At 35.9% G+C, this 27,822-nt stretch overlaps 1 protein-coding gene across 7 annotated transcripts in view; it reads right to left on the bottom strand.

The window, feature by feature from the left end:
• Positions 1–27,822, bottom strand: part of PRIM2 (DNA primase subunit 2) — a 425,311-nt gene that overhangs the window by 75,064 nt on the left and 322,425 nt on the right. The window contains exon 11 of one of the 7 annotated variants that reach the window (XM_047418989.1): positions 20,066–27,757. The exons of the other annotated variants lie outside the window; for them this stretch is intronic. Within the exon in view, the coding sequence (XP_047274945.1) occupies positions 27,671–27,757 (87 nt within the window). The 3' untranslated portion in view covers positions 20,066–27,670. Of the gene's footprint in view, positions 1–20,065; positions 27,758–27,822 lie in introns of those variants that run through there. 7 annotated transcript variants of the gene reach the window in all.

Below are 27,822 nucleotides of genomic sequence, written 5' to 3'. Positions count from 1 at the left end.
CTAATTTGCCAAATTTGCTGGAACCCTCAGAAATAAATTTTGGTTTTGTGAGTCTGACTTGTGTTTCTTAAGTAAGAAGGGAATGCATTCACTGTTGTTGTGTTTTTTTGTTTTTTGTTTTGTTTTGGTTTCTTTTTGAGATGGACTCTTGCTCTGTTGCCCAGGCTGGAGTGCAGTGGCACTATCTCGGCTCACTGCAACCTACGCCTCCCAGGTGGAAGCAATTCTCCCACCTCAGCCTCCCAAGTAGCTGGGATTACAGGCCACGCCACCATGCCCGGCTAATTTTTTGTATTTTTAGTAGAGACTGGGTCTCACCATGTTGGCCAGGCTGGTCTTGAACTCCTGACCTCAAGCGATCTGCCCACCTTGGCCTCCCAAAGTGCTGGGATTATAAGCATGAGCCACCATGCCCAGCCTTCATTGTTGTTTTTGTTCTGTATAATAATAGGCACAATAGGGAGATCATGAGGAAAAAACATAATTCTTATTCATTACCTTACTGATATGTAGGAACTTTTGCTTTGATAATAATTTAAAGAAGATATGCCATTTCTAATTTGCCATCTTAAAGCTCAAAATAATAATGCAATAAAATTGTAAGTTTATGCAAAATCTTTTGACAGAAATGACAGGTGTTCTAAAGGGAAATGATTAAAAGGTAAAAAAGATGAGAAAATGCTTTTCATGTATTTTTTATTTGGGTTTTAGATACCTCAATATGAGGGAACTAGAGGAACACAGCATTCTTTACTGTTTTATCATTATGTAAATCAAATAGATTTTCTTTTCCAGTAAAATTCTATGTGTAAATTGCCCCTGTGCATATCTTGCTGGCAAAAAAATTATAGGGATGACACCAATTTCATGGTAACTTTAATAAAAAAAATGCTCCTCAGCTTTACAACCTGAAGATGAAGAAAGTTTACACACTTTCTTGAAGTCTCTCACTAAAAACTGATGACCAGTGGAAATTTATCTTCTCATCAGCCATAAAATAGTGACTGCAAAATTCAATAATCTTGAATGCATAGTTCAAAATTTGTGATTTACTGTTTGGCAAATAAAAGTTATTTTCTAACCATAATAATAGCTATTTATTGAGGGCTTACTCTGTTCTAGGCACTGTTTTACCTATATTATTGCTGCTTTACATCCTGGAAAGCCACTTGATACTTTTTTATTAGAATCCCCAGAAAAGAATCCATCCTTTCAATGTTCATTTCCTATTTGACAACACAATTAGAAAAATTATCTTAATGTTAGAAAAACAGTGCTGTTCATAGATATGAAGAGAAAGCCAGCAGCATATAGAGAAATGGGATAGTCAAGATTATTACTGACAGTGAATAGGAAAATATAATCAAGTTCATTAATTCTAAAAGGAAATTAAAGACATTTGCTAATTAGGTGATCACAAAAGAAATGATAAAGCTCATTTCCTGCTCTATGATACTGGCAAGGCATCAAACCAAAAAGACGAAACAAAGGCATTTGGCTTTCATTATAGACCTATATAAAACAGCACAATAAAGAGATGTATACACAGCTCTTTCACATCAGTTAACTTAGATTCCTACCATTTTATTAGACAAGTGTTTCTATTACCTTTCTTAAAGATCTCACCATGGCTCAGCAGCTGCCATGAGTTAACAAACTAAAAATATGGTTTCTGATGTACATACAATTCACTTTCACATCCACAAGAAAATAATGGGCAAGAATAACTAATAAAGTTAAACAAAGTGGCAGGGCGTGGTGGCTCACCTGTAATCCCAGCACTTTGGGAGGCCAAGGCGGGCGGATCATGAGGTCAAGAGATCGAGACCATCCTGGCTAACATAGTGAAACCCTGTCTCTACTAAAAATACAAAAATTAGCTGGGCGTGGTGGCACGTGCCTGTAGTCCCAGCTACTCAGGAGGCTAAGGCAGAATAGCCTGAACCTGGGAAGCAGAGGTTGCAGTGAGCCAAGATCGTGCCACTACACTCCAGCCTGGCAACAGAGCAAGACTCCATCTCAAAAAAAAAAAGAAAAGAAAAGGGTAAGAACTGAAATAAAAACTGAAGGTTGATGAATTCACCTTAGAATTCATAGGCAGATTATAAACCTCAATATATATTTTTCTCATTTAATTATACTTCTACAAGTTTATGTTCAAATTCTATTTTCAAAAAAGTCTGAGTAATGAACATAGATGATGGCATTCAGGGAGAAAAGAAAGACCATAAGCAAATCTAGACTTAGAACTTCCTTACTTTTTGTAGTTATCAGTGTTTTGGTTTTAAGAAAAATCAATATTGTTTACTTAATTTTGCAACAATTAATTTTTAACTAATCCAATTACTTAAAAAATTATTAGAAAATTATGCTCTTCACAAATGCCAGTTACTGTTAATATCTGCAACTTTTCCTACTATCAAAAGGGCTCATTTACTTCCTTTCAAATTAACATGCATAAAATAGTATTTGTTAACTATCAATAATTTTTTTAAAGTAAATTAACAACAGCTACAACGTACAGAGTGCCTATATGTGCTCAGCAGTGTGTCAGGCACTTGACAGACATTATCCCCGCTCCTCCCAAGAACCCACAAAAAATAGAGATTATTATTCCCATATAAAAATGAGAGCATAAGACAGACCTTAGGAAAAGTAAGTATCTTGACCAGAATGATAAAATGAACCAAGTTAAATCTTAACAGACCCAAATAATCATCACTGTACTCCCTCATAACCAATATAGCTCATCCTAACTTTGGTGCAATAGCAATCTGAAGTTCAGAAAGAACTTACACTTATAGAAAATGTACTTAAGTCTTGATCGTCACCAAAAAGCAGGCATTCTTTCTTTCCTTTAGCTGGGGAGAAAACAGAGGCCCAGAGAGGGTAAAAAGCTTTTCAGAGCTCCCAAAGAGGTTGCAAGGGCCTGGCCTGTGGCCTTCAGCCTTTAGATCCAATTTTCTTTCTAATGCTCAGGCTTTAACCAGCATAGTTGAAAACGCATGTATTTGTAGCAAAGTACCTGGACAGGCACACCCCCTTTAAGTCTTAGATAGCTCTCCAATCTTCACATTTAACCACATGGTTGCTCACCATTTTTATTATTCCCTTAATATCTTTGTAAGAATAGAATTTTCTATACATTTTCCTTTGACAATCAAAACTGTGAAATAGAAAAGCCATGATTACTGCTTCCAATTTTATTCTATTCTATCATAATGTTCTACAATGGTGTTTCATTCTCAAATACAGAAATGCTGGGGCATGTAGTGAACAAGTAATACTGAAAAGCTGATTCAAGGAATAAATAATAAATAGTAGGGGTTTTTCCCATAAAATATTGACACAGAAGCCTGCAAACCCACAGTTCTTCAGATGGCAGCTCTTCCTACCTCAGATTAAGTGACATAATCTCACATAAACAATGAGGGGAAAAGACCAATAAAAGAAGGTTTAGGATCTTTACAGTAAAACAAAACCAAGTTATTCATTGCATTTGGGTGACATAATAAATGACATTATTGGTCACGGAAAAACATATTTTCCTACCTATCCACCTAGAAAATTGGACTGGGCATACCCACTCTGATTTATGTGGTCAAATACAAAGCATTTTCAAATACTGGGCAAATTTTTAAATAATATGGACTATATATTTATCGAACACAATTGTCCTTTTGAAGTATTTTTTTTTCAGTCATACTCAAAAAGTCAGATACTTTTTGACAGCTCAGGAAATATATAGCAAAAAGCTTTTCATAATATTGTATAACAAATCAGAGAAGAAATGCCTATGAACAAACAAACAGTTTAAAATCAAACCAAATGCATATACATACCTTCGTTCACATTTTAAGATGTCAACTATGAAAACATAATGCAGAATTATAGTTACAGGCAGATTTCCCTGCAGTACGTCTGGAAAAATATGATTTTGCTTGCTCTTTAAATGATGAAAAATAGCCTGCTAAAAGGATCTTTTAAAATATGTCTATAAAAAATCTCCCCCAACATGACTAAGATGTGATTATAAACACAATTTCAATCAAGTGATACTATCTATAACTCTAGCAAGTAGGTAATGAAAAACGGGGGGAAAAGGCAAAGGGCATTTTGCTTTCTCACATACTACACAATCACGTATTTTATGTCCTAGTGAATATAAGGCAATACTTATGATAGCTTTTCCTACTGCACTTGGGGAAGAGCTTTAAGACTCTAAAGAAAAGTGGAGACCTTCCCCGACTTATGGTGGGGTTATGTCCTGATAAACCCATCACAAGTTGAAAATATCATGTCAAAAATGAATTTTAATACACCCAGCCTACCAAAACTCACAGCTTACTTTAAACATGCTCAGAACACTTACATTTGCCTACAGTTGGGCAAACTAATCCAACACAAAGCTTACCTTATAAAAGCATTAAATATCTCATGTAATGTATTGAACACTGCAGTAAAAGTGAAAAACAGAATGGTTTTACATCATAAAATAAAAAAATTTTAAGTCAAGCCATCAAGAAATTCAAACACAAAAAATCTAAAACACAAACATTCAGATTTTATACATCTTCTCAACCACTATCTACAAGTTTATGATTATTACAATATTTTTTTTTCTAATCCCCATGCTGATCAAAATTACAATATTTCTAATGTTTCGTTTGGATGACTGGTAGAAGTAAAGGTATAGCCATGGGACAGTTTTATTTCTGAAAAGCAAAATGATATTGAGTACTTACTATGTACAAGGCACGGTTGTAAGCACTTTCTTTGTATTAGTTTTATTTAGTCCTCACAACAACCCTTTAGGACAGATACTATTAGGATCCTCTTTTCACAGATGAAGAAACTGGAGCACAGAAAGGTTAAGGAAACTGCCAAAAGTCAGGTTACAGCTGCTAAGTTGCAGAGCAAGAATTTGAATCCAAGTAATTGTATTTCCAAGCACTTAATTGCTCTGAAAACTACATCTGTAGTTTGTCAGATGAAATTACCTATTCTTTCCTGAATTTATGCAGAAAATAAAACAGGAAAGCGGCTTATCCTAAATCATCCTATTTCTCATCCCTTAACTTTTAAAGCTATACGTACAACAACAAAGAAGAACCTGTTACGATGTCAACTGACTGACTCCCATTGGCAGTGCATCTGAAATAATTAGAATTGGTATCAAAAACTTAGGTTTGATTCTGAGCTATATAGGATACAAAGTTTATATGTTTGGACAATTCATTTAACCTTTTTGAGACTCAATACTAAGGTGCAGAATGGAATAAAAATATGATCTCCCTTATTTATTTCTGAGGAAGCCAAACACTTAAGATGATTTAGAAATGTTCTTACAGAAGAATTCCAGCTAATAACTTTAGAAATAAAAATAATATAAGTGATTTTGGAAAGATCATTCGATAGACAAACCATTAGATGAAGACTTGTTGAAGAACTTAACAAAACAGAGGGTTCAAACTACTGCTACCCAATATGCTTCCTATGTGACATAATATGAAAAATAAAGTACCACTTATGAAGGATTCTTGCCAAAAAGGTTGCGCCTGAATCTACGTAAGTCTTTAGAGCTAATTCCATTTACAGAAAAAAAAAAAAAAATGGGTTATACAGTAACAAATTAAATGACACCACAAAAAAAGCAAACAAATAAACCCAAAATGTGAAACATATAGAACTGGCTCATTTCTTCAAGTTAATGGGCTGAAAAAAAAACAAAAACAAAAAAGGAGAGAGAAAAGGAGAGGTAAGGGATTACTAAAAGATTTATGAGACAACACCAAATCTAACATGTGACCTGATGTAAATCCTAGTTCAAACAAACCAGATGTAAAAACAAAAACAAAACATTTTTTAAGCAATTGGAGAAATCGGAACATGATCTGGATATCTGATGTCACCAAAAATTATTGCTAATTTTGCCAAATCATAAGACAGTAACACTAAAATTATGTAAGAAAGTGTCTATTTTTTTTAAGAGGTGCATACTGCTGTGTATAGGTATCTGTGATGGTTAATTTCACATGCCAACTTGACTAAATCACAGCGTGCCCAGATATTTAGCTAAACATTATTTTGGAGTGTGTCTTGCTGTCTCCAGATGAGACTGGTATTTGAATCAGTAGGCTCTGTAAAGAAGACTGCTCTCCCCAATGTAGGAGGGCAGCACCCAATTTGATGAGAGCCTGAATAGAACAAAAGGTGAAGGGAGAATTCTCCTGTCTGCCTGACCACATGAGCTGAGACACTGGTCTTCTCCTATCCTTGGACTGGGACTTACTGGCTCCCCCAGTTCTCAGGCCTTTGGACTCAGATTGAACTACACCACTGGCTTTCCCGAGTCTCCAGCTTGCTGACAGCAGATCATAGAACTTCTCAGGCTTCATAATCACATGAGCCAGTTCCTCATAAAAAATATCTTTATATAGAGAGAGCGGCATATGACTTAGTCTGAAACTTGCTTCAAAAATAGCTAAAACACAAAGAATAAAAAGGGATAAATAAATAAAATATGGAAAAGACTGATAACTGTTTAGTATGATGACAGATATGTGAGAATTTGTATTTGTATACATTTGGAATTTTTGATAATGTTAAATTTTTTTAAAGTATTTTCTCCACTTGTTTCATAAACTATTATGATGATCATTGAGAAAAAGTATATAAAAGTAGCTAAAACACATATCAGTGTGTTTTAATGTCAGGTGTTTTAATGTCAGTTTGAAAAAGGAATAAAGAAAAAAATTTAAGGAATCCACATTCTAAATTAGGAGATGGCCAACTATGGCCAGTCCACAGGCCAAATCCAGACAGCTGCCTGTTTTTGTGATAGTAACACAGCTACATCCATTTGTTTAAACATTGTTGATGGTTGCTTTCATGCTGCAGCAGCAGAGTAAGTGCAACAGAAACCATATGGTTCATAAAGCAAAATTTATTTACTATCTGGCCCTTTAAAGAAAGTTTACTGACTCCTATTATAAATTCTACATTTTTACTATTATTTAAGAGAAAATTTAGCCTCAAAACATTTTCAGAGCCTTTCTTTTTAAGATTTACCAATGATTTTCCCTATCTACCTTCTCACAAATAAAAACAAAACCATCCACAAAATAGGGGCTGGTAGCCTCATAAGTTTTGCCCTAAAGTGAATAAATCATTTCATAGCTTCGAGGTAGCTACTTTTCTATTAAATCTAGAAGCCCATAATAAAAGTAAACAAACAAACCAAAAAAGTAGAACGGTAAAAAAAAGAAAGAAAACTTATAATTTCATATTACTATTATTATTTTACTTCAAGTTCCCTGAGTTTAATAAAAATAGCCAAAGGGAGACAATACATTACATGTTTCAATGCATTCCAACCAAAGGATGTTTTTTATTTGGGGAGGGAAAGAGAAAGGAACACATACACATACAAGGCTGGAATTTCCTCCATGTCAATCCAGCGAAGAACACTGTAAACCCATGGGCCATTTTTTTCTAACTATAAACTGTATGTTTTGGATTAATAGTTTAAACACATTCTTTGGCAGCCTTCAACTTAACTTACATAACCTTCAGGTATACCCATGAGCTGATTACTAATTTAGGGCTTGAGAAAAGCAATGTTTCAGAGGGAAAAGGAGACATGAATGAGCTTAATATGTAAGTACACTAGCTAAAGGGCATAATTAAAACTACATCACTCCTTTAAATCTACATAATTATGTCCCAAAGACATTCTCATTAGTATCTTTTATTTTGCCACTAAACCAGAAAGGACTTCATGTCTACATAGTTGGGAAATTCACATAAAATTTAAAAAGCTAAGGCCGGCTGTACGCATCAGCTCACGCCTGTAATCCCAGCACTTTGGGAGGCTGAGGAGGGTGGATCACCAGAGCAGGAGTTTGAGAACAGCTTGACCAATATGGCAAAACCCTGTCTCTACTAAAAATACAAAAATTAGCCAGGCATGGTGGCGTGTGCCTGTAATCCCAGATACTCGGGAGGCTGACACAGGAGAATTGCTTGGAGACAGGAGAATTGCTTGAACCCAGGAGGCGGAGGTTGCAGTGAGCGAAGATCGCACCACTGCACTCCAACCTGGGCGACAAAGCAAGAGTCTGTCTCCAAATAAATAAATAAAAAAGCTAAGGCATATACAAGTCAGATAAAGTGTTTGCAAAATTCAATGACTGAACTTCCCTTTTTAAAGTACAATCTGCCATTAAGTAATATATAAATCCAGTCAACCATCACTGCTACCACAATATCAGTACGTAACCTTATGCCCCAAATTTCAGAGGGGAAAATAACCAGAAAGAATTAAACTATTTTTAATTTTAGAAGACAGAATGCTGCTTTTTCTGACACTAACTCAACTGGAAATCTCTACTAACCAGTGCTTCCTCTACTATACAATGATAATTGATGTTCCTAATGATCAGCCAGAAGCATGTTCCAAATCCTGAAGTTCATTCTAAATGATTAAAAAGATTATGTTCAGTAGACTTTCAGTGGTGAGTACACTTCATTATATTCTCATTATTTTAAGATTAGTAACATATTTAGGATATGTAGGGCAACTGTCCATCAAAAGGCTATTCCCAAAATCAGATATTCACAGAGGCTATACTGGAAAGCTCTTAATATTATGGTCAATTTACTATACATAGAGGAGAAAATCACCTCTCTCAAGACGTGGGACATGAAATTCTATAGGGCATTAAGAGATTCTGTCCTAGGACTTGAAGAAATTTTAAATCCCCCTTTTGAAAAAAATTGGCCCAAACAGTGGCCCTCGTACTCTCTGCTTATAATGACACTGATCAAATCTTCTGAGACAGAAGCTGGAAGAGGAATTAGGAAGCTATTGCAATAATTAGATAAGAGATGGTGATGGTGTGGACCAATATTGTGGCAGTACAAACTGGATAATGATATACTTTCATACTTTCAAGGTTGAGCCAGAAGAATTTGCTGAGAGCATCGGTATGAGAGAAAGGAGTAAAAGACTATATACATCAAGGTTTTTAACCTGAGCAACTAAAACAATGAGATTGCCATTATCTGAGATTGGAAAGACGACAGGAGGAGTTGGTTTGGGGCAGAATGGTATACCAACAGCTTAGTTTTAAGCACTTTAAGTCTGAGATACCTCCTAAGTATTATGATGTTTGTATAATCTAGAACATAGATCATCTATAGATCATAAGCAGGCACTTGGATATCTGGGTCTAGAGCTCAGGGAGGTGGTTAGGCTGAAAATATGCCCTTAGGAGTTATTGGCATATAGATCTATGTGAAGCCATAAAAAAGGATGAGATCACCTGAGTGTAAATATAAAGAACTAAGGTGTTTCCTGGAGTGCTAAACTATCTAAGAAGAATATAAAACCCACATTCCTCATCTTATTGTGCCCATTTCATTGTGCTTCATAGATAGCGCATTTTTTACATATTGAAGGTTTGTGGAACCCTGCATCGAGCATGTCTATCCATGCCATTTTTCCAACAGGATATGCTCACTTCGTGTCTGTGTGTCACATTTTGGTAATTCTCTTAATTTTTCAAACTTTTTCATTATTATATCTCATTCTATATATTTTATTATTATGTCTGTTTTGCTGATCTGTGATCAGTGATCTTTGATGTTACTAATGGAATTGTTTTGGGGTGTCACAAACACACCCACCTAAGACAGCAAACTTAGTTGATAAATGTTGTGTGTCTTCTGACTGCTCCACCAACTGGCCATAACCCTGTCTCTCTCCCTCTCCTCAGGCCTCTCTACTCCCAGAAACACAAAAATATTGAAATCAGGCCAATTAATAAGGACTCTGACCAAGTGAAAAAAAGACTCGCACATCTCTCACTTTAAGTAAAAAGTTAGAAATTATTAGGCTAGTGAGGAAGCCATGTGCAAAGCAAAGATGGGCTGACAGCTAGCCTCTTTGAGAAAGTTAAGTGAGATAGGCCGAAAGCTAAGCTTCTCGTGCCAAACAGCCAAGCTGTGAATGTAAAAAAAAAGTTTTTCAAGGAAATCAAAAGTGATTCTCCAGTGAATATGTGAATGATAAAAAAGCAATACAGGCTTAGTGCTGATGTGGAGAAAGATTGAGTAGTCTAGATGGAAGATTAAACCAGCCACAACATTCCCCTAAGTGAAAGCCTAATCCAGAGGAAGGCTGTAACTCTCTTCAATTCTGTGAAGGCTGAGAGAGGTGAGGGAACTATAGAAGAAAAGTTTGAGCGAATTGGCTGGGCAGAGTGGCTCACGCCTGTGATCCTAGCACTTTGGGAGGCCGAGGAGGACGGATTGCCTGAGCTCAGGAGTTCGAGACCAGCCTGGGCAACAACGGTGAAACCCCGTCTCTACTAAAATACAAAAAATCAGCCGGGTGTGGCGGCGTGCGCCTGTAGTCCCAGCTACTCAGGAGGCTGAGGCAGGAGAATCGTTTGCACCCAGGAGGCAGAGGTTCCAGTGAGCCCAGATCACGCCACTGCACTCCAGCCTGGGCAACAGAGTGGGACTCCATCTCCACACACACACACCAAAAAAAGTTTGATGCTAGCACAGGTGGGTTTATGAGATTTAAGGAAAGAAGCTATCTCCATGATATAAAAGTACAAGGTGAAGCGGCAAGAGCTGATGGAGAAGCTGCAGCAAGTTATCCAGAAGAACTAGCTAAGATGACAAAGGTGGCTATACTAAACAACACATTTTCAATGTGAATAAAACAGCCTTATATTGGAAGAAGATGTCATCTAGGACTTTCATAGCTAGAAAGGAGAAGTCAATGCCTGGGTTCAAATTAGCCCCTAACTTTCTTGTTAGGGGCTATAGCAACTGGTAGCTTGAAGTAAAAGACAATTTAGCATTCTGAAAATCCTAGGGCCCTTACGAATTATGCTAACTCTACTCTGCCTGTGACCTCTAAATGGAACAGCAAAATGTGGGTAACAGCATATCTGTTTATAGCAGAGTTTACTGAACAGTTAAGCCCACTATTGAGACTTAGTGCTCAGATAAAAGGATTCCTTACAAAATATTACTGCTTCATGACAATGCACCTAGTCACCCAAGTGCTTTGATGGAGATGTATGATAAGATTAATGTTTTCATGCTTGTTAACACAACATCCATTCTGCTGCCCATGGATCAAGGAATAATATTGACTTCCAAGTCTTATTATTTTAAAAATATATTTAATTAGGATATCATTGCCATAGATTGTGATTCCTCTGATGGATCTAGGCAAAGTAAATGGAAAACCTGGAAAGAATTCACCATTCTAAATGTCATTAAGAATATTTGTGACTCTTGGGAAGAGATCAAAATATCAACATTAACAGGAGTTTGGAATAAGTTGATTTCCAACCTTCACGGATGACTTTGAGGGGTTCAAGACTTCAGGAAAGGAAGTCACTGCAGATGCAGTGGAAATATCAAGAGAACTAGAATTAGAAGTGGAGCCTAAAGATGAGCTGACTGCTGCAACATCATGATAAAACTTTTTAGTGGATAAAGAGTTGCTTCTCATGGATGAGCAAAGAAGGTGGTTTCTATTCCTGATGGAAACTATTCCTGGTGAAGATGCTGTGAACACTGTTGAAATGACAACAAAAGATTTAGGTTATTACATACACTTAACTTATAAACAGCATCAGGGTTGAGAGGATAGACTGCAATACTCAAAGAAGTTCTGTTACAGGTAAAATGCTATCAAACAGCACTGCATGCCACAAAGAAATCTTTTATGAAAGGAAACGTCAATCAATGCAGCAAACTTCATGGCTGTCTTATTTTAAGAAATTGTAAGAGCCACTCCAATCTTCAGCAACTACCACCTTGATCAGTCAGCAGCCATCAACATCAAGGCAAGACCCTCCACCAGCAAAAAGATTACAACTCACCAAAGGCTCAAATGATCATTACCATTTTTAGTAACAAAAAATGTATTTTTAAATAAAGGTGTCTACATTGTTTTTCTAGATATAATGCTATTGCACACTTAATAGACTGCAGTGTAGTATACATATGAGTTTTATATGCACTGGGAAAGCAAATTGTGTGACTTCCTTTATTTAAATTTTATTGTGGTGGTCTGGAACAAAACCTGCAATATCTTCTAGGTATGCCAGTACCACCTTAGCGATGTTAAATACCTACATCTATGTTGTCTAGGATCTATCCCGTCAAGTATCCTATGTACTATTCTAAACCAATTCTTCAATTATTTTAAATCAGCAAGTAAATTTATCTTTGCTGAAAATGAGGAAAGATGTTTATTGTGAAATCAGTCAGATGGAACCTTGACCTGAGTAGGCCCTTAGATACAATTTTGAGAAAGGCATAACTAGCTGCAGATAAGAAGTACAAGGTAAAGCCAAAAAAAGACTGCAAAAATTCACTAGAACAGGTAAACACTGAAGTCAGGGCAGTCAACAGTTCTGCTTGTATGATGACACAGTGCTGAAGGGTGACCCAAGTGATTTCTGCCATAATAACTTCCATGGATTCAACTTAGACACTTTAAGCATGCTACCAAAAATTCAAATATTCAAAAAATGTATGACAAACATAAAAAGTTTGAGAGGCACTGATCTTATATCTTTGTATCACCTCAAAGCCCAAAACTTTTTTTTTTTTTTTCTTTAAGACGCAGGGTGTCACTCTATCTCCCAGGCTAGAGTAAAGTGGCATGCTCATGGCTCACTGTAACCTTGAACTCCTGGGCTCAATCCCATCTCAGCCTCCCAAATAGCTGAGACTACAGGTGTGTATCACCACACCTGTATCACCAGCTAATTTTTTTATTTTTTTGGAGAGAGGGAGTCTTGCTGTGTTGCCTAGGCTGGTCTTGAGCTCCTGGGCTCAAGTGATCTTCCCACCTTGGCCACCCACAGCACTGAGATTATAGGTGTGAGCCACCGTGCCCAGCCCCAAAATGTATCTCGTTAATGACTACCTAAAAGTTAGCATCTTGGCATTGATTAGAAAACTGAACCCTGAAAAGAGCTCAGCACCCTCAACCAACTTGCTTTGGACATCTGACATTTTAAAAGAAATAAAAACACGTGTATCAAGGAACTGCCATATATATTTTCTAACTTCTATATATATATATTAAGAAAGATAAAGATCAGAAGACAGCAATAAAACCAACCTGTAATTTCTCAGCATCCAGCAGGAATACTTTAACTGAAACTTAATAACATGCTCTCAGCTTTTACAAAGGTTCAGTGTAAGACTCTCCACTTGAGTAATGGTTCTATGTGTTTAGCCAAACCATGGTTTAAAAGGTCCTTTATTATGTTACCAACAACCTTTATATGAATACTTCATGGATCATAAAATATTCATGCATCCCAATTCTGTATGTCCAAATCTTACCATCCTTCAGGGTTCAATTCAAATATCAATTTGTCCATGAAGCCCTCTCTGAGTCTCCTAGGTAGATATATCTTACTCTTGAGCTTGTCCTCCTACTATGCTTACTACTTTCTACGTCATATTAAATAAGAACTTAGGGGAGGGCATTTTATTGATCATTTGCTATGTATCAGACACTGTGCTAATAAGCACAATACTAAGGGTTATTATCATACGTAACCTTCATATCAATCCCATCACTATCCTTATTTGAAAGATGAGAAAACTAAGTCCAGAGAGGCTGACTTAACCAAAGTCACATGGCAAATAACTGGCAAATAGGTCTGGGCTCTGGTTTGATTCCAAAGTCTACATTCTCCCCGCCACACCACAGTGCCTTCCAAAACAAGAGAACTTCCCTCTCAGGAGACTAATGTCTATTTATTTATTAAGTTTTGTGAAATATTTCTAAATATCCAATACTTACTTGAATTTAAACCTAACAAAATGTGGTATCTGTCTCCAAAGAGGTTATTATTATTTGCAAGGCAATTCAATAGTTATATTAAAATACAAGTTATAACAGTCTAGTATAGACTATGTTCCCTGAGGTCAAAAGTCATATCTTTTTCTTTTTTTTTTTTAACTTTTAAGTTTGGGGGATATGTGCAGGTTTGTTATATAGGTAAACTCACATCATAGCAGTTTGGTGTATAGATATTTCATCACCCACGTACTAAGCTTAGTACCCAATAGTTATTTTTTTCTGCTCCTCTCCTTCCTCCCACCCTCCACCCTCAAGGAAGCTCCAGTGTCTGTTGTTCCCTTCTCTATGCTCATGAGTTCTCATCATTTAACTCCCACTTATAAATGAGAATGTGCAGCATTTGATTTTCTGTTCCTGCATTAGTTTGCTAAGGATAATGGCCTCCAGCTCCATCCATGTTCCTGCAAAAGACAAGATCTTGTTCTTTTTTATGGCTGAAGAGTATTCCATGGTATATGTGTACCACATTGTCTTTACCCAATCTGTCACTGATGGGCACTTAGGGTGATTCCATGTCTTTGCTATTGTGAATAGTGCTGCAATGAACATTCGCGTGCATATGTCTTTATGGTAGAATGATTTATATTCCTCTTATACTCGGTAATAGCATTGCTGGGTCGAATGGTAGTTCTGTATTTAGCTCTTTGAGGAATTGCCATACTGCTTTCCACAATGGTTGAACTAATTTACACTCCCACCAACAGTGTATGTGTTCCCTTTTCTCCACAACCTCACCAGCATCTATTATTTTTTGACTTTTTAATAATAGCCATTCTGACTGGTATGAGATGGTATCTCACTGTGGTTTTGATTTGCATTTCTCTAATGATCAGTGATACTAAGCTTTTTCTCCTATGCTTGTTGGCCACATGTATGTCTTCTTTAGAAAAGTATCTGTTCATGTCCTTAGCCTACTTTTTAATGGACTTTTTTTTGTTTTTCTTTTAAATTTAAGTTCCTTATAGATGCTGGATATTAGACCTTTGTCAGATGCACAGTTGGCAAATATTTTCTCCCATTTGGTAGGTTGTCTGTTTACTCTGTTGATAGTTTCTTTTGCTGTGCAGAAGCTCTTAAGTTTAATTAGATCCTATTTGCTTTTGTTGCAATTGCTTCTGGTATCTTTGTCATGAAATCTTTGTCCATTTCTAATGTCCAGGATGGTACTGTCTAGGTTGTCTTCTAGGGTTTGTAGTGTTTTGGGTTTAACATTTAAGTCTTTAATCCATCTTGAGTTGATTTTTTTATATGGTGTAAGGAAAGGGTCCAGTTTCAATCTTCTACATATGGCTAGTCAGTTATCCCAGCACTACTTGTTGAATAGGCAGTCCTTTTCCCCATTGCTTTTGTCGGCTTTGTTGAAGATCAGATGGTCGTAGGTGTGCAGCCTTATTTCTGGGCTTTCTATTCTGTTCCATTGGTCTATGTCTGTTTTTGTACCAGTACCATGTTGTTTTGGTTACTGTAGCCCTGTAGTATAGTTTGAAGTCAGATAACATGATGCCTCCAGCTTTGTTCTTTTTGCTTAGGATTGCTTTGGCTACTAAGGCCTTTTTGGTTCCATACGAATTTTAAAATAGTTTTTCTAGTTCTGTGAAGAATGTCATTGGTAGTTGGATAGGAATAGCATTGAATCTATAAATTACTTTGGGCAGAATGGCCATTTTAATGATACTGATTTTTCCTATCTGTGAGTATGGGATGTTTTTCCATTTGTTTGTGTCATCTCTGATTTCTTTGAGCAGTATTTTCTAATTCTCATTGTAGAGCTCATTCCCCTCTCTTGTTAGCTGTATTCCTAAGTATGTTATTCTTATTATGGCAATTGTGAATGGTGGCATTGTGTTCCTGATTACTGACAGTCCTTAAAACATTAGTATACAGACAGAGTTTAATAAATATGAAAATAAAAGCTCTTCTTGTCCAAGAAAATTATATTTCTTTCCAAAAATGAGAATCACGGACTTTTTCTATCCCCCTTGGCTAAAGTTAGGGCTCAAGTAGAATAATTAATTTAGCCAGGTGTTCAGCAATGTCTAGTTCTCTGTTCCTTTCAATATTTTGTTTTTATTTTTCATTTTTCTAAAGGAAGAAGACAATGTCATAAAGCTTATCTAGTGTTTGTGGTATGGCCCATCCAATGAACAGAAAAATCATGTGAATCCCAGAGCTTCTACCTAGCAGTAAACTCACTGATCTTCAGGGTGCTTCTTTGCAAAATCCAGGTAATTATACCTATTTTTATATGGTGAATTTCTAAAGCTTAAATAAGAATATTTATACAAGGTAGGCCAGGCACGGTGGCTCACGCCTATAATCCCAGCACTTTGGGAGGCCGAGGCGGGTGGATCACTTGAGGTCAGGAGTTCCAGACAAGCCTGGCCAACATAGTAAAACTCTGTCTCTACTAAAAATACAAAAATTAGCCAGACGTGGTGGTGCACAACTATAGTCCCAGGTACTTGGGAGGCTGAAGCAGGAGAATCGCTCATAGCTGGGAGGTGGAGCTTGCAGTGAGCCAAGATCATGTCACTGCGCTCCCGCCTGGATGACAGAGCAAGACTCTGTCTCAAATAAATAAATAGATACAATATTTACACAAAGTGCCAGACATACTGCAGGACTTAATAAAGGTTAGCATTCCCCACTCTAACAAATTATTTTAAATGGCTCAACCATGCCAAAGGATAGCAAGTTTACTTTAAATCAGCCATCTTCTCAAAAAGCCACTTAAAATGTTAAATGTTTCAAAGAGAAATAACATTATTTTTTAGTCCATTTGTCTCTATCAACAAAATATTATATCCCCTTTTGATACACATTCTTTCCCTACAAATAAAGCAGACAATGTGCTCTTTTAGAACTTTGGTTTATCTTTGTAAAGAGAAAATAATACAAGGCATTCACTGTGGCACTCACAGTCTGCTTTCTCTAAGGACAAGCCTATCTATACTCAACAGTCAGAAAAGCAAATGATCTGGCTGGAAGGGTTCCCTGAAAGAACGAAAACACATTCCTTAGCAATTATACTTTTTAAATGAAAAGTCTGTCTTTACGACAACAGCAAGATTTAAATATGAAGGAAAAAACCATGAAGTAGCATATCCTTCAATTTTTCAAAGAGAAAACTAATGGCTTAACACACTTAAGGTCCATTTTCGGCCAACGAATATATACTAAGAAAAGACTAGGTGCAGAGCATTCTTTCCTATGCAAGAGATGGGTGGGGAGAACATAAAAACTTTAAGATAGAATCCCTGCTATTTAGACACTTAAAATTTAGTGGAGATTGAAAGAGTTGTTAGTCACTGCTGGCTAAGGTGCTCAGGAAAGGATTAACACAGGGCTGGGCCTTCTGTGATAAACAGAAAGGATTCTAGAGCTCTTATCAACAGAGGCTTAAACTAAATCTAGTTCATCCCTAGTGTACTAAAATTAATTCCAACTAGTTGCCCCTTAATTATTCAGAATTCTCTCCCCTATCAGACAGTATAATTTCTTCCTTTTCTCTAGGTAATAAATTTATACACACTATAGGTAGATTAAAATTATCTTTTAAAAAATCACATAAAGCTTTAGGAATGATCTTGAATGTGAAAATCTAAGTCTAACAAAATATAGCTTTTAAAACAACATTTACATGTAAACAATATGTGCCATGTTATCCATAGAAAGGAGTCATCATTACTGTTTGGGATGAAACATAATATAGTTGTAAACAGAGATTAAATGGTTTTACCAAGGCATTATTCAAATTGCATCCTTTATGTAAGAGGCCTCAAGGCACAATCAATAAGTTAATGATTAAAATACGTAAAACTGTAGCAGATAATCATCATCATAAAATTGTGTTAAAATAATGTTTAAGTGTTGATTTGTCAGAAAGGACCTATTAATAAAGACAGATTTTTATGGTACTATTCCTAGAAGGCCCATACATGGGATAGGGATGATTTGGGGAAATCATCTTGTCCCTAATTCCTTAGAGTAAGAATTTAGAAACTGTGGAAACATACTACTTGAACTCACATGTGGCCAAGGCAAAGCTTTGCAAGGAATAAGGAAGCAAAAAAGGAGGACAAAAAGTAGCCTTAAGTACTATGACACCCTTGAAACTCTAAAGACCACACTGCAGTGTTTCTGCAGTCGCAATATAACTAAAGAATAGGATACCAAACCTCAGAGCAAGTAATGGAGCCTCAAGGTTTACACAGTGAGTTACAGCAAGCATAACAGGAAACAAGAAGGGCAACGAAAGTGCATGCAATGTTGGCAAAAAAAAGAGTCCACCTTTAAAAATAAGTCCACCTTTAAAGACAGAAAAAAATTGGAAATTTCCTAGAAAAACAAAGACTTCATGATCTCTTCTTGAATTACCTTGAGATCATTCTCATTAGTGAACATTATATTCAAATACACTAATTAAAATGACTATGTCCTGGATTCATGTTTTTTTAAATATAGATTTTTCAAGAGGCAATTTTAAGTATTTTTAAAACTAAAGGTAGAAATAAAAGCATTATTGTGATAAAACTCATATCCAAGAGAATTAATCTATATATGTATATCTTTCCTTTGTTGGTAAAGAGACATCAAATTATAATATAACCTAAAAACATCAACATAGAAAGCACACCTTATCTTCAAATTGGTTTAACAGTATTATTCTATCTAAATTACAAAGCGACTATATTTAAACAAATAAAAATCCCTTTAATCCACACATTTCCTGTGAAATGTCAAGCTTTTACCATTCTGACTTTATCCTTACATATGGATTTACTGAACAATATCACTTAACCACTATTTAAGCTAGTGACAATGGTATTGTTTCATATTTACTCATTCTGACAAACATTTTGTTTTTGAGTACACTGTCTAAATCTAATAGAATAAAATACAATTTATTTGCAATTTTTAAATATTACAGTGGAGAAAATCTGAGATGAATGTTCATCACAGTGTTGTTTTGAAAGACTACGGAAAACAAGGGGTTTCTTCGTACAAAAAAAAGTCTAAAAACTGCCAAAGGAAGGGGCAGAAAAGATAGGTGGAGAGAAACTATGTAGAAATATTTGTTTTTTTGAGGCTTACATGAAAATTCAAAGGGTAAGGATGGCATACAGGAATGCAACTGGAGAGCTAAAAAAAAATGTCTCAACCAAGGCAAAGGAAAAGGAAATGAGAGGTTGAAATAAAAGGCCTTGAGGTCCAAAGATGTGGAGACAAACTAAAGCATATAGTAGGTAAAAAGATTAATTGTGCCCAAGACTCACACACCTTATGGTAGACATCATTCATTTCCCTCTGGAGTATCTTTCCAGTGGGGGATTAAAATATAGGAATTCTTTTGAGATTTTAGTAGAAAATCCTTTTCCCCTCTCTAAGAACTTGACTAAATCACAAGATCCTTGAGCCTAGGCATGATTAAGACAGTGTTGCTTTACTCAATCCTAGTAGGTAGGCTACAGGGATCAAAGACTTGAGAGCAAGGAAATCTGCCTTATCAGTCCTAGAGTCACAGACAGAGCCTGGTACCTTGTTTTAAATGACAGCCCCTCCAAAATGAAGGGTCTGAAACCACCTTCCTCACTGAGAGCAGAGACGCAGTGAGCTTAGTGTAGGCCTCATGTAAGCCCAGGCCACCAAGCCAGTGCTTCTCACCTGACTTAAGCTACATTTGCCCAAGCCTCACCAATGGGAGTTGGCCTCAGCTTGTGCTGGTGCTCCACTGCCTCCTGCTGGTCTTCCCCGAACCCACTGACTTTTTAGCTAAATCTGGCTGCATTACAGCTCAAACCTCCACAGACTGAAATCATATCGAAAGGTTTTAAGATCCAGTGTCTGTTAATTCTGAGTACACTTGGACAGTTCTCTTTGCCTCGAGTTTCTTCATTGTAAAATGGTGAACACTCAGACCTGCTATTCATATCCCACTAAGATATGACAAGAAAAATGCCAAGCCTAGAGTTCTTACATAAAACTTACGTTGTGGCAAAACATCATGTTTTTGTTTAAGCCTTCCATGACCACCCTATTTAAAACCACATCCAGGCACTAAACAGCATTCCCTATCTTCTTCATGAAAAAATTTCTTCATAGCAGTAATCACCAAGTAATATATCAATAATTCACTTACTTGTTTACTGTCTCTCCTCAACCAGAATGTAAGCTCCAGAGTTTTAATTTTTTTTTTTTCTATATTGTTCACTGCTGCTATACCTCTAGTAGCTAGAAGACCACCTGGGACATAGTAGATACTCAATGTTTGTTGAATGGATGAACAAAATACACTCTTTAAACAGTCCCCTAGGAAAAGGCAGGTTATGTCTGAGATAGTACAAAAGAAAATGACAAGCTTATTCTGGGATCAAAGTCGAAAAGCAATCTACTTCTTAGGGTGCCTAATCAATATCATCCTTACCATTCAAATTTTTTAAATCTGAGTTTTTGTGTCTCCTTCTCTGAACTTATTCTGAATTAAAAGGCTGACTTCACTTAACAGGTGACATTCTTATCAATACAGAACAGTAACCATCTAGATTTCCCCTTGAGTAAACATCCCTCTAGCCCTTTCCTGATTAGGATTCCTGCTTTTCTGATTGAGCTGCATACAACAACAACAATCGCACTATTAAAGCACAACCATTCTCTGGGTCCCCACAACAGTTTAAACTTATATATTCTCTTACTATAAAGAGTAATGCACACAGGCAGGTGCAAAATAACTGTCTGGTTATTTTTTAAATAAAATAAAATCCTACTTTACATAGAAGTAAACAAACTGGAAAGATGGTTCAAAGTAATTTTTTAAGTAAAAACAAAATAATAAATTCAACAAAGATTTACAGGCAAAAGATGGGTGACAAACACACAACAGGTTGTTAAAGAAAGCCAAGAATATACTTGCCCCACACTTCAAGCCCCTGAGATTCCTAATATTAATAAATCTTCCAAAGAAAAATCCTTCAGTATCAGAAGTCTGACCCATTTTGGAGCTTATACGTACCCAATTTGTCCAGAGACATGGCCAATTAAAACATACTCTTGATATCTTAAACTGGCATCTTTTTAAGAAGATACATATTTTATTGTCATTTTCCCCTAAGAGTACCACATATATTAGCAACAAAAATTTGACCCACCTTTTAAAATGTTGAATAAAATGTCATTTTATTTTTTTAATCTCATTTTAATATATCAGCATAATCCATAAGGTATCACTGGCAAAATGACATTTATAAATGAATAACAGAGTTGAAGTCTTCTATTTTTTATCTTATTTCCATAATTTAAGAATTAAAAAGTATTTGGAGTACAACATCAAGAGCAATTAAATTTACTAAAGCTAATTTTTGCCAGAATAGTGTTAGGAGAAGGATAATAACACCTGTTTTATTCTAATGATAGACTTAACCCAATACATAATTTAATTTGAATTTTGACTAGCTAGCCTCTTGACAATTCATGAAAGCAAGCCCAACCTGTTCAAGTCAATGTTTAAATATTAATTCTTATACTGTATAATCTAGAATTGGTATTCCACATGCTATGGAAAGCATCAAGAGAAGAATTAAACCCTTAACATACACATATCTTTATTATACACCAAAATATTTATAAGAGAGAATATAACAAATTTCACTGCAATAAAGCTTCAAAAATATGTTTTAGATGACTTTGTAGCTGTTAAGAGTACCTTTAAAATTGCTGCCCAAAAATAATAATGACAAAGATTAGACTATTTTTGCAAGAAACTTTTTTTTGAGGGGGGTTTAGGGGGGACACGGAGTTTCGCTCTTGTTGCCCAGGCTGGAGTGCAATGGTGAGATCTCAGCTCACCACAACCTCCACCTCCTGGGTTCAAGCAATTCTCCTGCCTCAGCCTCCCGAGTAGCTGGGATTACAGGTATGTACCAGCATACCTGGCTAATTTTGTCTTTTTAGTAGAGACAGGGTTTCTCCATGTTGGTCAGGCTGGTCTCAAACTCCCGACCTCAGGTCATCTGCCCGCCTCGGCCTCCCAAAGTGCTGGGATTACAGGCGTGAGCCATAAGAAACTATTTTTTTCATTACATTCAAATTACTTTCCTAGGATCTCACTAACACGAACATTCAAACAAAACAAGCTTTTCTTTGAAAGAAAAACCAAAACATAGGCAATTAGAAAACTAATATTTGTGTCTAGAAGTTAACAAGTTTACAAATATATTGAGAAAATGTGAATGATATAGAATAACCCCTTTATCAACATTTTAAAATTATTCAATATTTCTTTAGTACATTATAGATTACATAGTATTTCACATATATACTTAATTCTTTGCAATATTTTAGCAGACATTACTATTGTCCTCAAGAACTGAAAAATCTCTATTGTTAATTGTGTTCTCTAAAGTTTACATAGTTATCATTATCAGTGTCAACCTAAACACTAAGTCTAGTCTTCCTTCTGCGAGTACTGGGGGAAGTTCAGGGTTTGGAATAAAATAGACCTGGGTCTAACCCAGGTTTGATCATGTGCCACCTTTGCTGCCTGAGGAAAACACATTAAACTCTCCATCGAACGAAGATAATATTTACCTCATGGTGGTGGTGTGAGATTAAATTAAACAGAAAACATAGGAAGAATTTAAAGCAGCATGCCTGCTTTGCTAACCCCTAAACCTGAATAAATTTTACCTTATGCCATCTCTGCTTTTGCTCTAAGGCCATAAGACACTGCTAGAGAAAGCAACATAATAGTGCTGGCTTAGCCAGTTACAAATTTATAGCCTAGTACTGTTTTTTCATTAGTAAACTCGACATAAATAATACTTATCTCCTAAGATGGTTTTAAGGATTCCATAAAATTGTGTATGTAGAATATTAGTTATAGAGCCTAGCATATGCTAGGAACTCAAACTGTAACCATTCTGTAGCTTAGCAATCTTTTTTTTTTTTATTAGTTAATGCCTTAGCACACTTATGGAAGGTGTTATTCTAGACTCTTCAACTTTCTTTAAGCCCTAAATACGCCAAATCCTTCTGGTAAGCAATTCCCCTGCCTACTTTATTGGAAAGATGAGCAGTGGATGTGAGCTCCCACAGCTCTTCTTTCTACTTTTAAACACTCCTTTACCAATTCATAATTTTTCATATATCCATCAGGTGTGAGATAAACTAAACTCCCAATGCAATTCTTTCAGTCATTCAACAAATTTTACTAAGCATATACAATCTGTCAGTACCATCTCAAGTGCTGGGTATATCACAGTAAGAAAGAAACAAATTCTACACTCAGGGAACATCACATAGGAAACAGAGGTTCATATTATAATAATCACATAATAGATAAATGTTTTAAATTCTCTTTCCATCTCCTCAGGCCTTGTTTCCTCAAGTATTCTCAGCACATCCTCCATTTCCATGAGTTTTACTGCTCCTGCCCACCCCAACTTGAAAACCTTGCTTGGCACAGTCACCCTCTGTACCTAGTATGCTCTATTTCTTTCCTTCCTGACTTCTTAAACTTTAGAAACGCACACTCTATTCCCATCGCCTCCATTTTCTTGTATGCTAAGACCAGGAAATCTGGTTCCTGCTCTAACTTTTGGCACTCCTGCTCTAACTTTGGCACTTCTCAGAGAGTCCCCACAAGTAAGGAGGCTCTCAACAGATGCAGCCCCATGACCTGGGACTCCTCAGTCATAACTAGAAGAAATAAATTTCTCTTCTTTATAAATTACCCACTTTCAGATATTCTGTGATAAGCACTAGAAAATGGACTATGACAGGGTAGTAGTTAAAACAGTGGTTCTGAATCTTTAGTGTGCATCAATTTCATCTGGATGATTTGTTAAACCACCAATTGTGGGCCCTGACCCCAGAACTTGATTCTGAGATTCCACATTTCTAACAAATTCCCAAATGATGCTGATGCTGAGATCTACTGGTCTCTGAAATAAAAAATCCTAACAATAAATGTTTCATATACTCACATCCCACCAGCCAAATATTTAATCCTTCAGTAGTCAATTTTTAACAACACAAGTTTGTTCTTAGTCTTGACGCAAGCTAGATTCTGGAAGAAAACAGTGCTAAATGTTCCTTGACCCAATTATAACAACATATAATAGACCTTAAGCATGCTGTCATCAAGGACAGAAACCACAGCTACAGAAAATGTGCATTATCAATGTTGTACTTAATATCCAATAAAACCAGCTTAAAGCAATTCAGAATAACAACACTATGAGCAATCTGACAGGACACATGCTTTGAATTTATTAGAAGAATTATCCAGTTCAATGTAATACTTAACAAAGCTAGTCGCCGAAGTGATTTAATATCCAAGTGCCAAGTAAAAGAATATTTTCATGGTATTCATACTTTAAATAGAGGTTTGTGCATGCTGTCACGTATAAGTGGGAGCTAAACATCGAGCACCCACAGACATAGAGATAGGACCAATAGACACGGAGGACTACTAGAAGTGGAAGGGAGGATGGACTGAAAAACTACCTATTGGGTACTATGCTCACTATCTGGGAGATGACGTCGCAGCACAAAATATACTCAGGTAACAAACCTGCACATGTACCCCCTATATCTAAAATAAAAGTTGAAATTTTAAAAATAAAAAATAAATAAATAAAGGTTTGATTTTATATCTCTTGCACCCAGGGTGATGCTTTTTTCAGGTAGACAGGCTTGTAAATTATAATTACAACTAAGAAAAACATGAAAAACTTTACTCTGACTAATTAAATTTTATTTGTATAAAGCATAGGTGCATTTATTTCAGAAATACAGGAAATTATTTAAGGAATAAGACGTTCAAAACTTTAAATACTTCTTGTGAATCATTCACAAATCCAAAAAATCTGATTCAGCAACCTAAGTGCAATTTTCAAATTTCTCCATCCTTCACTGACAAGCGTTAACTCAAAGAGCTTTATTTTAACATTTTAAATATATCAATATTCAAATTCAACAATTTAAGAATAAAAACCCTACATTATGAAACCAATGTTTTTTGGAGTAAGGTATGCTGTGAAAAGCAATTGGTTTGCTATAAGATCATACAACAATGGAATGTTCTCTTGGAAATGGTTGATGTTTTAATACTGAAATCTCTATCCTCAAGTATAATATGCATCTAAATAAAACAGTATTCAAATATACTGAGAAGGTAAATTACAAAAAGTCTGGAAATGGAGAATTTTAAATCACAACAGTCAAAACCACAACAATCCCAAAAACAGGTAATAAAAAGCCTAAGTGAATGAGTAATAAATGGAAGAATTATTACTGTAAAATTATTTTATTAAAATAATTATAAAAATAAAGAAAATAATGGAAGAGTTAACGATGTTTTGTGTACTTTCCCCTCATTCCTTGTTCACTGTGTATTCTTGCTCTCATTTCTTTCTCGACTAACCCATGTCATTCACTTTCTCCAAATCTTAATTCTAGATTGGTCTCTAACACGATCCACTCTAACAACTTTCTTACTCCACATCACCTTAATAATACTTTCCTTTTTACCATCGTGTTTTGGAACTGTTTTCCAATTCCTTCGTTCTCAATTAAACTATAACCAAGTAGATTAAAATTTTTAAATTTGCTTTAAAGCAAAATAGTTTCTTAAAAATCAATGTTGGCCTATATAATCAGAAATCCAAAGTTAGGCGAAATTAATTTGAACCAAGTGGAAACTTTACTCATACTATTTTCCGCTTTTCAGTAAACCTGCATAGCATCCAACATTCATTATATTATTTTAGTAAATATTCAAAGTTGTGAAACTACACATATTTGACTAAATTCCAGTTACCAATTGACCCTATCCTGGCTGACAGGATCCTGGTTGGCACCTACCTACCCAACAAGACCAGTTCCTACTGGCCTACTAATTCAATCTATCTTTAGTAATTAGGCTAAAAGATCTATGTCTCCAGACTCCCCTCTTGCCACAATTACACTGGTACAGTTCAGGTTCCTACCACCTACAGGATGGACTACACTTTAAGGTCCTTTAAAATGTTGTCCCTTTAACATGAAATTCCCTTCTTTCTCTGTCTGTACATTTGTATTTATCTGGTTTTTCCAAATAAATCTCTTGGAAGACTCTCGTGAATAAGGTCTTGGAGGGGCCAGGCATGGTGGCTCATGCATGTAATCCCAGCATTTTAGGAGGCCGAGGTGGGTAGATCACCTGAGGTCGGGAGTTCGAGACCAGCCTGATCAACATGAAGAAACCCCACCTCTACTAAAAATACAAAAAAAATTAGCCGGGCCTGGTGGCACATGCCTGTAATCCCAGCTACTTGGAAGGCTGAGGCAGGAGAATAGCTTGAACCCAGGAGGTGGAGGTTGTGGTGAGCTGAGATCACGCCACTGCACTCCAGCCTGGGCAACAAGAGCGAAACTCCATCTCAAAAATAATTATAATAAATAAAATAAGGTCTTGGAAAGTCTTCATAAATAAGGGCTGTTTCTTTTATTTCAGTATCTTCAGAATGGTATATGTTCATGATAAACACACAATAAAAATCGGCTGAACTATGCCAAGTAGATGGAATATGTACATATGTATGTATCTATGTATATACATATACACAGAAATATATTTCTCTGTACTTTTTATAAGAATCGTAATATGATACTATGTTAAATATTTGTATATTTGTATATTCTACCAATCCATATTTTGATTTAGAAAAATACATGGACGACAACAAATTTGATTCTGGGAATCTATATTTCTAACATATTCCCAAATGATGCTGATGCTGAGATCTACTGCTCTTAGAAATAAAAAAGCAACTAAAATGACTTAAATTCTATAACTTGTTAGAAACAGCTCTATCTAAAAAGAACCAAAACAGATAAAGATTATTTTTTCTCATATCGAAAGCTAAACTTTAAAGATTTGGTAGAATTTACCATGTATTCAGCAAAATATAAATAAATAATATCTATGAACATGTATGAAAATTTATTTCTATGTAAATAATATGGAAATTTCCATGTATTAGTTTATTCAATAAACATTTATTGAGTGCCTGCTATGAGTCAGGCACTGTTCTAGGTGCCTGAACATGCAGCAGGCAACAAGAAAGACAAGATACCTGCTTTTATATAGTTTACATTCTAATTGTAGGATACAGATAATAAATGAATAAATAAGCAATAAATATAAGGTAGTCATAAGCACCCAAAATTAAAAGAACATAATCTGGTAGCAAGTAACCAATATCATTTATTGGAATATATATGCTAGCCGGAAAATAGTTTCAAAAGGCAAGAAAAATAATCCAAACTAGTAACTCTGAATAAGCATTTTATAGACAGATGGCTAATTTTTACATATATAGGACTCACTTAATACATCTGACAGAGCAGGAGCATTGCCATCTTGGACAAGCACCATCATTTTAAAATTTATGTTGATCAAAAACTTCCTAAATCCAAAGGGCATCAGCTTGATGGCTAAAGTCAGCATGACCATAAACCACAAATAACATCTGTGACCAGAAACACGCCAAACCCCTCCCTGACCAGAGACATGCCAGCCCCGAGATAACCTCCCCTCCAGCTGGAGAGATGTCAGCCCCAACATAATCTCCTCTCCGACCAGAGACATTCCAACCGCGCCATAAACTTCTCCCCCACACAGAAACATTCCAAGCTCTCTCACCAATAAATACTCTCAGTCTGTAAGAGACAGCATTACTGACCAAACTCGGCCAGAAGCCCCACTCAGGTTTATTCTCCAAAATAAACCTGTCTTTGACTGTTGAGCTGCTTTTCGTGTTTCTTTCCTCCTTCTTTAACTCTTACAACATCAAATTCCTAATAAAAAAATAACAGTGGGCATCAGAACCTTAAGCTGCTTCCACAATCCATTATTACTACTC

The sequence above is a fragment of the Homo sapiens genome, chromosome 6 (assembly GCF_000001405.40).
Source record: "Homo sapiens chromosome 6, GRCh38.p14 Primary Assembly".
In the NCBI taxonomy this organism is placed as follows: Eukaryota; Metazoa; Chordata; class Mammalia; order Primates; family Hominidae; genus Homo; species Homo sapiens.
The sequence above is the reverse complement of the archived record's forward strand: the minus strand, read 5'-3'. Positions and strand labels throughout refer to the sequence as shown.